The 12448-nt window shown below is 38.9% G+C and overlaps 1 pseudogene, besides 1 other annotated feature; it reads right to left on the bottom strand.

The window, feature by feature from the left end:
• Positions 1608 to 1707: an enhancer, noted in NCBI's record as "active region_28459". NCBI's record gives its function as "activates an Ori minimal core promoter by ATAC-STARR-seq in GM12878 lymphoblastoid cells {active_cell/tissue: GM12878}" and the evidence as "EXISTENCE:reporter gene assay evidence [ECO:0000049][PMID:35858748]".
• LOC100289351 (ribosomal protein S12 pseudogene) lies at positions 4217 to 5032 on the bottom strand (annotated as a pseudogene).

The raw sequence follows: 12448 nt of genomic DNA, 5'->3' as shown, positions 1-12448 counted from the left end.
ACTGAACCAGATTATGAAAAAGGGATACTTAAGGTAAAACAGGGACTTCTGAGAACAGGCAAGTAGATTCTGTTCTGATGTTTAATCAGACATAAATATCTACAGAAAATTGTTCTTTAGAAAGAAAAATACATCTACTGTTCAAATACATATTTATTGTGGATTAAGAATGTGTCATACACATACAGGAGATATTCCCTGATGTGTTTATTGTAGAGTTGGGCAGTCACTGTGCGATGATGGTATCTTGTTCCCTGTCTCACCAACAGCAGACTTTATTTTCCTCTGGAGTTTGTTGAAAGGTTTTTCAGTGTTCTGAGAATTGGGAGTCATTATGGAATGCACACTGAAAATACTTGCTTATTCAGAATAAGCTGAAAGTAAAGGGCTATTATTTCCCGTCTGAATCGTTCTAATGGGATGGGTCATCAGTTTCTTTCCAAAATGTTTATATTTAAAATGTTTTCCTTTTTCTCTCACTGAAAACTTCTGTTGCTTAAGAGCAGAGTAACTGTGTTTGCAAACTCCTGATGACCCTGTGTAAGCACCATGATTACAAACTCAAGGCTAGACTTCAATGCTGTATGTTATATCACAAAATAGCTGCTAAAAATCAGACTCTGTTCAGAGTGATTTGGGGAGAGGTCGTTTTGTTTCCAAATTTACCGTTATTATTATTCTATGCATATCCACAAATCAGTTGGCCTTTCCAATTGTGAAGTAGTTACTATTAGCTGTATTTAGAGAATTGAGAACGCACCTCTACTATATGGAGGTGGGCTTTGGAATCTGAAAGACTTGGAATCATGTCCTGCTTCTGCTCCTTAGTAGCTGAATGATCTTTAGCAAATCCTATAACCTCTGTGGGCCTTTGTTTTCCTGTCTTCAAAATGGCATTCAGATCTGCTCTTCAGGGTTGTTGTGAGATTAAAAGAGAAAATTACTGTAAAGCATTAAGCACAGTGGTGAAAATTTAATAATAAATATGTTAGGACAAAAGCAGTTTCAGTTTGTCAGGATGTAAGCCACAGAAACAACTTTCCAAGAGAAGTCAACGAGTAACCTTCAGAGGAAATTATTGAGTTTTTAAAGCTGGTCATTTCCATTTGCTTATGAAAAAATTGTTTGTGCTTACTAGGTTCAAGGAGAATATGTATGAGCAGGGAGGGAAAAGAGAAGGAAGATAGGTCTGGGTAGCTGAATTAGTTCCTTAAAGAATTTAAACTGGTAGTAAACAAGAAGATAAGACTTGCCAGTAAAAGGCCATAAATCAGAACTGAAAGTTATACCTGCTGTAACAGAGATGCAGTCAAAGAGGAATGGCACCTGGGAAGAAGAAGAGATTATTTTGCCTCTGACTTCATTTTTCTTTCATAGTCATGACTCTGAAAACCATAGCAAAGCCCATCCTATAAAATTATCTTTCTCAATTCACATGATTTAGAGAATTTTAGAATTCAAATATATTTTTAAGAGTTTGTGTTTAGAACTTCTACATTTTACAGGTGAAGAAACAAGATGAAGTCAAGTAATCAAGTTAGAGTAAGACCAAACCATGAAGTCATTTATTATGTTCTTCCTGCTTCACATGACCCATGAGTTCTCTTTCTCTGAGTCAACTGGAAATACCCTTTATACATTGCATGTCTCTTCTACCAGAAGAAAACTTGCAAATTGCAAATGAAAAATCTCTACAATAGTTTGGGCTTTAGGCTTTTCCATGGCCTTTTTCCTTCTGCTCTTTTCCACTCTATTTTTTCCTCCAGAGGTTTTCATTTCTACCTAGACTACATGGCTTTCTTCACCTGTTAATCTATTGCCTAATAAACAAACCCAGTTGACCCTGAGCCAGTGGCTTTTTTCTTTCCTTCCTTTCTTCCACCCTTTCTTCCTTCTGTCCTTCTTCCTTCCGTATTTCCATGTGGTTTCCTAAGACACTAGACTTAGACCTAGTATTCCTAGATTGACCAAAGATCCCTGGTGTCCAATTGTGGAAAACGTCGGAAGGAGTTCTAGGCATGGTAGGCATCTCAGCAGGACTTGATGTAGACAGAGACCAGTGAGTAGCAGGATTTGCCTAGTGCCTCAGTTAAAGATTCTGCACCCTTGGTGTAAAACTGAAGAAGGTGGGGAATCCCAAGAATCATTGAGATTGAAACTCCCAACAGTCTATATTGGAGTCAAAATTAAATAGAAAGAAAAAAATAGAGGGGAAGGTAGGAAGGAAAAAAGGAATAAAGGAAGGCAATATTTCTTACATACTTAAGCTATGGGCTGACATTCATGAACACTAAGCTTTATTGACACAGTGATGTAGTAATGATATTTTCTTTATACATCATAAGAAAGATAGTTTTCATTCATAGCTACAGAGTAATCAGAGTAATTATTCTCAGACCAAGTAAAAATTTGATAGCTACCATTACTGAGCATCCACTAGGAACTTTATCTATATCTATATCTGTCTATCTATCTATCTATCTATCTATATATATATATATATATATTTTTTTTTTTTTTTTTTTTTTTTGAGATGGAGTCTCACTCTGTAGCCCAGGCTGGAGCACAGTGGCACGATGTCAGCTCACTGCAACCTCCAGCTCCCGGGTTCACGCCATTCTCCTGCCTCAGCCTCCCAAGTAGCTGGGACTACAGGCGCCTGCCACCATGCCCAGCTAATTTTTTTGTATTTTTAGTAGAGATGGGGTTTCACCATGTTAGCCAGGATAGTCTCGATCTCCTGACCTCGTGATCTGCCTGCTTCAGCCTCCCAAAGTGCTGGGATTACAGGCGTGAGCCACCGCGCCCAGCCTATCTACATTATTTTATTTTATCTCATCATCACGATGACTTTATAATCTTGGTTTTGTTATCTTTATTCTAGAGATGAAAACAACGGGCTCAGAAAGTTCAAGTAATTTGCCCAAGATTACACAGAAAGTAAGTGGCAGAACCGGGATTAGGAACCATGTGTCAAATGCCACACCTATGTTCTGTCTCCTAATCTGCCCTGTGGCCTGGGACTGTGCACTAGTCAAGACACAGTGACTAGAAATCTTATCGGAAGTTGGGATATTTCGGTTTAACTCAATACTTATTCTCATTGTTCTCCTGGCTTTCCCAAAGATTGACTTTCATGCACCTTTTATTCACATTTGTGTCTCCTATTGAGCAAATTCACTATCTAACCTTGGCCACAATCCCCTTTCAGCTCTTGGCCTCCTGTCAACACACTTCTATCATTTGACACCCCCATCTTCACATCCCTCATCCTCATCCATCCCCATCCCCTACTCTGACCATCCTGGGTCTGCTTTTGTTATGCCTGTCTGACACTGAGTTGATAGGGCCACTGTGTGACTCAAAGGAAATAGTAAGTGTCGAGGCAGCCATTCAGAGATTAAGATGGCTACAGGCTGCAGTAACCTGGGAAAGTTTCTGGAGAAGGAAGTTTGATGGGAAGAGATCATTAGATTAAGTGGAAAAGAGGAAGAAGACCATTATTTTTGGAAAGAAGTGGGTGAAAAACACTGGAAAATAAAAATGCAGACATTAAGTAGTCTACACTGGGAGAAGAAGATAATTGATCTTGATTATAGCAGGAGATTACTTTGGAAAAGTTAGTGGATGGCTTGATTTTTTTTTTTTTTTTTTTTTTTTTTTTGAGACAGAGTCTCCAACTGCCGCCTGGGCTGGAGTGCAACGGCGTGATCTTGGCTCACTGCAACCTCAGCCTCCTGGGGCTTGAATGTTTTAAAAGTTAAATTTACCTCAAATGTTGTATAGTATGTTTAGGAATAGAAAAGAATGAAGGCAAAAAATAATAATAATAATAATTGTCACTGCAAAATAGACAGGATCCAAAATGACCCCGTGGATCTAAGCTATAATAACTAAGACAATGACAATAACCACTAAAAGACACAGGAAATTCAAGAGGCAGACACTGGTTACAGACAAAGAACATGACTTTTCATTTAGCCATGATGTGCCTGGGGTAATTTGGTAATGTTCCAGTGAAACCACCATGCAAGAAGTTAGAACTGCATGACCAGAATTGGTAAAATTGGTCTAGGTGAAATTATCCATACAAAGGCGAGCTTTATTTCCATAAAAACAGATGAACTACCCAAAGGAATAGCAAAGACAAGATCAGAATTTATCAACACAACTATGGCTGCATTTATAGCCACAACAATTTGTGTGTGTGTATGTGTGAGAGCCAAAGTTTTATGTGTTCATTTATTGCATTTGAAGGACCCTTCGATAACATCCTTGGCTGAGACTCCTTGCCATAGTCCTTAACTACTACACAATTGCAACCAACCACTTTAAGGGGCTTCTTCTCTCTGTCAATTTTACAGAGGCCTACCCATTCCCCTAGTTTCTTATCTTTTCTTTCTTTCTTTTTTTTTTTTTTTTGAGACAGCATCTTGCTCTGTTGCCAGGCCGGAGTGCAGTGGCACAATCTCGGTTCACTGCAACCTCCGCCTTCCGGGTTCAAGTGATTCCGCTGCCTTAGCCTCCTGAGTAGCTGGCACTACAGGCATGCATGACCACGCCTGGCTAATTTTTTGTATTTTAGTAAAGACGGGGTTTCACCATGTTGGCCAGGTTGGTCTCAATCTCCTGACCTCATGATCCGCCTGCCTCAGCCTCCCAAAGTGCTGGGATTACAGGCGTGAGCCACTGCGCCCGGCATTCCCCTAGTTTCTTATTGTCATCAGCCTTAATTGGGTTCATTTGCTGTTCAGCACAAAGGGCATCCACCAACTTGACATGCACAGACTCATCACAGTTGGATGTAAGCAGACAAAGATGGGCTTGGCACTTGTGTAAGGCTTTGGCAGCTTCATGAATTCCACATGCTAGGCCACCATGGATGAGGGCGGTTTTCAGCACCTCTTGAAAAGCAGTATTAATGTCCATTACACCTCCAGCAATCCACAGCTATGGCGGTGGATTACAGGTGAAGTCAAATCTTGAATGCACTGCAGCCTCCACCTCCATGTGACTCAGTGGCAAGGTAAGAAGCCATGATTATTTATTGATGATTTATATATTCCAGAGATCAGAGTAGATAAAATTAATGTTTTCATTTCTAGAACAGACAAGCACACTTGGTTATTTTTTTAAAAAGTTAAAAAAATTATTAATTGTGGTAAAATGCACATATAAAATTTGCCATCTTAACCATTTTTAAGTGCACACTTCAGTGGTATAAAGTACATACAAACATCACCAACATCCATCTCCGGGAGGCAATTCATCTTGCAAAATTGAAACTCTATACCAATTAAATAACTCTCCATTCCTTCCTCACATCCCTCCATCCATAGCAACCCCCATTCTATTTTTTCTTTCTTTCTCTTTCTTTCTTTTTTTTTTTTTTTTGAGATGGAGATTCCCTCTATCGCCCATGCTGGAGTGCAGTGGCTCGATCATGGCTCACTGCAACCTCTGCCTCCTGGGTTCAAGCAATTGTCCTGCCTCAGCCTCCCAAATAGCTGGGATTACAGGCGTGTGCCACCATGCCTGGCTGACTTTTTGTATTTTTAATAGAGACGAGGTTTCGCCATGTTGGCCAGGCTGGTCTTGAACTCCTGACCTCAGGTGATCCACCCGCTTCGGCCTCCCACAGTGCTGGGATTACAGGCGTGAGCCACTGTGCCTGGCCCCACAATCCAGTTTTAGAACATGTTCATCACCTCAAAAATATAACTTTGTCAGTTTATGGTCATCCCTTGCTACCATCCCCAGCCCCAGGTCATAACTGATCTGTCTACTTCTCTATAGATTTGCCTGCACTCGATCAAATTTTACAAGTTATTTTTAAACTATCTTTTTAAAAAACTAGTATTTCATAGAATTATAGGGGGAAAAGTATGTCTTATAATCTCCTGTCAGTTTTTGTGTGTTTTTAACAAATCTCTGTTCACAGATCCATCATTTCAGCATCATGTTTTGTTTTTATTTTAGTCTTTGTCAAAAGAAAATTTGAAAACTGATCTTGTTGGTAAATGACACACTTAAATATGTTATTAGAATGTTATTTATTCCTTAGAGTTGTATCTCTTATCACTGACTAATTTCCTTCTAAAATAAGGCATGACATTTCCACTAAGGCACCCAGGTGAGTTATGTGCCTGTCCTAATCAACAGCCACCTGTCATGATCTAAACAGGTTTCCAGGTTGTTTATATTCTCTCTTCCTCCCTCCCTAACCCAGCACTGAACCTCTTACTGTTCAGTGCTGATCACATGTACTCCACACACACTACCACCTGTACTGAGTGGAATTCAGAAGCCTCAACTGAGCCTTAAATACACTGTAAGTGAATTCCTTAAGGCTTTGGCATGTGGAGGCCCACACCCATGGTTTCACACTGGGTTCCTTCCAAAGCAAGGTTTAAAAAAGAACAATGTGAAAGGTAAAATACACACACACACACACACACACACACACACACACACACAGAAATTTTAAAAAATAAGAAAGTGTTTTGTTAGGTCTTGATAAACAAATAATGTCTCTGATACCCAAGTACCTGAAACAATATAAAGACAGATTTTATCCCTGATTTTCTGAGGTGATGAGGTCAAATTCTGAGCTATAGGTTTACTAAATAGGTCAACTTCAGATTAAGAGCTTTGTGTTCAGCTGTTCCACGTGACGTGTATATGCTTTAGTGAGTTTCAGTTGAGGATGATGCCTTTAATAGAGTGAAACCACTTAATTTTAGTGTTAAGATTAAGACTTGAATCATACTGTGCCAAAGCAAGATAACAATGTAGGAGGGTATTATTACAGAGCAGGTTATGTTTGTGGCTTGACAATGTACCCCACACCCCTATCATCTCTGTGTGTTCAACTCAAAGGATGCTAAGTAGGGAATGAACACATTTGTCTAGAAACCAAGGAGTCTCTAGGAAAATAAAATGCTCAACCCCCAACTCTAATGAGTTTCACCATTTTAAATGGTCTCGACTGAGATCAGTGGACAGGGAAGGGCCCCAAGGATATGCTTCCGAAGGAGGAACCAACCCATCGTAAGAGAGGGGTCAATGAGTCAGTAGTCTGGTCTCGCCACAATTACCTAAATAATTCCCAGGAGAGTTCTGGACACAGTGTGTAGCTGAGATAAGCTGGCCTAGGTTCTCCGGCACTATGGATATGCTTTGATGAGGAGCTATGCCTGTTAATATGACAAACAATCTTATTGAGTTCCAGGCATAAAATGATAGGAGCAATCATAGCCAAGTATAACCCTATGGGGAGATTTCTCTACCTCCCTCCCCTCCACACTGATCCTGAGGAATTACTGCCAAACCATCGCAGTGACAGGATATCAGGAGGCTGTAAAGCCCTGTGAGTTTGGCTTCTTCAGTTTTCTCTCTGTGAGGCCCTTGGCAGCAAACTTGGCAATGTTTCCTCTCTGGACTGTCTACCAGGACTTTTTTTTTAAGAAGAGCTAAAAAAAATTTATAAAGGTTAAACATTGTGACATAGGTTTTCTTTATGTTTAGGTCATAACTAGAAAGGAAACTCTACACTTTGCAAAAGAGCAATTAACAATAGCACAAATTCTTATTCTATGCATCTTTGAGTAGCAGAGTGACCTGCAGGTGATAATTTAACTTGTATTGGAATTTTTGCTATATATTAAAAAGTCTCCTATCCATGGAGTGGATAACTTGTTAAAAAGGAATAAAAGCTATTCTACCCCCAACCCCAGGAAAGGGCAGTGGACCGAGTCTTGTGTTTCTAAAGCCCAAGCCCTTCTAATGGCCCTTTAAGTTTCACTGTGGGAAGAAAGAACAGAGGGTACCATTTCTATTTTAGAAGGATGAAGAAGGAAAGAAACCCAGACCTTGAGGAAATTCTAGAATTCAAAAAAGGAATAGTGATTGTCCTTTCTGAGACAGGGAGATACCTGGACGTGCTTTGGTTTGGTGAATGACAGTAGAGGGGCATGGCTGTGCAGAGGGTTCTGAACTGTCAGAGAGCAAGTTGTATTATGCTTTTATGCCACTCTCCTTCAAAGTCCATGCTACTCAGCAGCAAACTGTATAAGTTGACATGTTGCTAATCCCTGATGCCACAGGGCCAGAGGTACAATAGAAAATTTGTGACCCCAGCAGATCCCAGTGAAAGCAGCAGTGAACAGGGATTCACCAGGGCCCTTAGTCACTTGAGAATGGAACCTGGCACACTATGTGTGGGTGCACAAGTCCCTAGGAATCCAAATAACCCAGGCGAAGGGGTTGGGAGGTCAGGAGTGTGATCATGGAATTTCCTTAATTCTGCAGGTAGAGCCTAGAGCCATTTCCATTTTAATCTGAAAGTAAGAAATATGCCATGCAGTTCATCACAGAGTGCAAAACACCTCCTACTTGTTAAATAGTTGGTTCTCCCCCTCTTGTTTTTCTTTTTTGGCTTCTAACACACTAAGCACACATATTTATTATATAAACCATAATGTTCATAATTGGGGTTTCACAAATATGTTGGCATTTTTTTCATCAATTATTTATTCAGTCAGCATCTGATAAAGAGAAACAGACAAACTACTGGGGCCCACCTACCCTGGAGTAGGTACTTAACATAATGAAGTCAGTTAAATTCTGCATTTAAGACATTAACAGTGAGCTGTGGCAATACAGCATAGTGAAGGCCTAACCCAGGCAGGAGCTTCCTAAAAGAGGTAACATTTGACTTGAATCCTGTTGCATGGGAAAGAGTTTACTCTTTCTTTCATATCCATTCTTTCAGTGAAGACACCACCAGCCAATGCAAGTCTCTACCAGAAGCATATCTGTGAATTCCCCTTCCCCTTATTCAGACAGGCACCATCTCAATCTCATCTTTCCTAGCTCTTCAAAACTCTTTTGACCCCATTTATTTCAAGTGCCACATTAAGGTAAGAGTTTCAGCTGGGACTGGAATTTCTTACTCAAGGTAGCAACCCATTCATCACCTTTAGTTCTTCTATCTCTTCCCAATTTCATGTACCTGCCCCCACCTCCCACAGAGTTAACCAGCCAGATCCACAGTGATGGGTCTCTTGAGCGAAACAGAAGAATCAAACATTTGTAGGTAGAGAAAGGGATCTGATAGGAAATACTTGTAGGTCTGTCACATTCCTGGAACCCATTCATTCTACCCTTTTTTATTATGACTGCTAAACAGTCACAATTTAACTCAACCCATATTCATTGAATATTCCTGGTAGATACTTTGGGCAGTGAAAGATGAGAAAGCTGGGAGCTATTAGAGTATAGTGGCTTAGAACATAGGCTCTGAAGCCAGGTTTAGGTTTAAATTCTAGATTATCCAACCCAGAGACTCTCACGTTTCCCGCCAACCTCCTTCCTCCAAACCAAGAAGGATGGGTCACTACACCACTGTTTAGGAGCTGCTACTTCTAATGAGAATGTAGCATACTCCTAACAGTGAAAAAATATATTAAGAACTGCTAAGATGATTCACCTAAAAGGCCCAATACATGCCTGGCACATTGTAAGTATAAACAAATGACTGCTTTAGGTAAAGGAAATATAAATAGAAAATGTGGGTGTGTAGCTGCTTTTTCCTGTCTGGGATTTACTGGCTAGTATGAGTGTCGTACACATGTTATACTAGTTACACACATTTAAGACTCATGTCTTCTTCATCCTTATGCAAAAACACTTTACTACAATACCAGTTAATGATTTCTCATTTATAAAACTGTTCCAAGTCTTGTACATCTCAAAAAGTTAATTTTCCTCTATTTTTTCCTTCTAAATTCCCCCAAGCTATTAATTTTCAATATGAAGTTGCCATAATTAAACTTTTTCTTAAAGAAGAAATAAACCTCTTTAGTCATGAGAACAGAGCTCAGTCCACATCAGAGGCAGTTATTGTGAATTCCTCCCTAAATTATTCAAACTGAGCATATGTCCAATTCAAACTGCTTTCACTCAAAAATGAAATCCTTACAGGACGATAGAGAGTAAACATGAGAAGTATACCCCTGCTATTTTTTGCCTCCCCTACAAATTGTTTCCATCCGTGTCTGAAGTGCCAGTCTGTTTTCATGAATTTTAATTAAAACTGGCACCAGATTGCTGCTGGGGATAAGGGTTGGACTGGGAGGGAATGGAAGCATTTTGACATCTGCCGAACTCCGGATAAGCTGTGAGGTTTGCACTTGAGATTGGCTTCCTGAATGCAAGGAGGAAGCTAGTGAGAGACCAGACTTTCTGGCCGGTCTAGTAGCAGACATCAACCTCTGAGGTTTTCTCGATGGACAAATACAAAAGGCATAACTTCTGCAGTATGCTGAAATTGACGGAGAAAAAAGAGAACTGCTAGAATCAGATATGAACTTGATCTAATGAAGAAATCCTATGACGTAATGAAGAAGAATTGAAGAGAGCTTTCGCCAATGCCAGTGGTACTGTTAGAGACTATGGTTGTTCCCAGACAGGAAAAATCTTGAAGAGATGTGACCTTTGAGATGTGAAATTACGTATCTCTTTTGGCCAGAAAAGACATAGAGGAGGCATCTGATTTAGCAAAACTTGTAGTATGAAAGTTGCCTCTTTGCAGCTCAACAAATACCAAATACATTTACATTGTTGGGGCAGAATAGAATTTTTTCTTAAAAGAATTCACTTCTTGCCCTGACATAAAGTAAACAAAGTCAATATCATTAAAGTCAGTCCTCCCTTGACACCAGGAAAACTGTGCCATCCCCAAACATACCCAGCATCTGTGAAATCTGTAATCATACAATGATTTCCCCAGAACAAAAGCAAATAGACAGTAGCAAGGGTGTTAGTTAGCTAGATGGCTATGGAAGGTACTGCACAAAGCAAATTTAATCAATAATAGCTCTAGTATTTAAATAGCCAGAAATAAGGATAAACAATATGAATGTGGAAAATGTAAATATACAAGCAAGCATGTGCCAATATGAAATACGCATGGCTACAGAAGTGCATGTAGAGGAGTAATGGTGATTTGTGTCACTCTGCCCAGGCCTTCAGCAGGTCAAGGGGAGTTCAGTCAAAGGAAAGGTCAGGCAGCAATAAATCCAAGATATCCCAGTAGGAAGGTTGCATCCATACATCATTGTCTAAATCAGTGGCTTCTAAATTTTTTGACCTATCCACCTATAAGTAAAACAAAATTTAAGCATACACTTTCAATTTGTGTGTGTGTGTGTGTGTATATATATGCACACACATGTACTATACATAGTATATACATGTGTGTAGTATTATGTGATAGTATATGCATGTACTATTATACTAGCATATAATATAGATAAAAATATACAAAGAGACAATTTTTAAATTTTTATTTCAGGTTTGAGGATACATATAAAGGCTTGTTACATATATAAACACATGTCATGGGGGTTTATTGTACACATTATTTCATGACCCAGATATTAAGTCCAGTACCCAGTAGTTGTCGTTTCTGCTCCTCTCCTTCCTCCCACCCTCCCTCTCAAGTACACCCCAGTGTCTGTTGTTTCCTTCTTTGTGTTCATAGGTTTTTATCATTTAGCTCCCATTTATAAGTGAGAACATGTGATATTTGGTTTTCTGTTCCAAAATAGACATTTTTAAAGGATGAAATCAAGATAACCCAGTGGTTTGTTTTACTTCTATCTTATTAATTTACAAAGACATCTTTCTGTTTTCACTTTTAAAAATCATTAAGACTACTAAAATGTGTAAACAGTGTGATTTAATATACTTAATTATGTTTTAAAATCTTTGTGATTCAGTCTGGCATTATGTTTATTATTTCTGGATTTAATCTTAATGATTGTCATAACAAAAAAGTTAATTCCTAATGATACAAGGATGTGATAAAAAAAAAAGACCTCATTATCTTGCCTACTAAATCATGGTACTTATTTTTTAATGTAATCCTCCAATTATGCAAAAGTTTTTGTTTAAAGTTGACACAGTATTCAACTAGGGTGAGGCCTACAATGATAGAGGTAGTAAATCCATATTTCATAATTCTCTTGATCATTTCAAAATTCATTAGAATGTATAAATTCATCTTTTACCTCTTCTTTGGCTGCTGAATAACTAGTTCCATAGGATTAAGGGAACTTTCAACTCTGCCACTTTTTTCCATTATCAAGCAGTGCATTAATTATTATCTTCAATCTTAGACACTTTTGCAGGAATCTTTTATATCTATTTGTCTATTTTGTGAAGTCAGTAATGAAATCCCTAAATCCACTTAGCCAGGTATATGCAAACTTCAGTATGTGTTAACACAATGAAATCAAGCAAAAGAGAACTCTATAGCCAATTCTTTGGGGTTGGATTCACAGACTACTGCCAATCTGTGTATTAAATATTAGTAAAGCTTAATTTCTTCTCTCTACATATTAATGTAAAACCATAAATTATAATATCTTTCTCCACACATCAA

Source organism: Homo sapiens, chromosome 9 (assembly GCF_000001405.40).
Source record: "Homo sapiens chromosome 9, GRCh38.p14 Primary Assembly".
In the NCBI taxonomy this organism is placed as follows: Eukaryota; Metazoa; Chordata; class Mammalia; order Primates; family Hominidae; genus Homo; species Homo sapiens.
The sequence above is the reverse complement of the archived record's forward strand: the minus strand, read 5'-3'. Positions and strand labels throughout refer to the sequence as shown.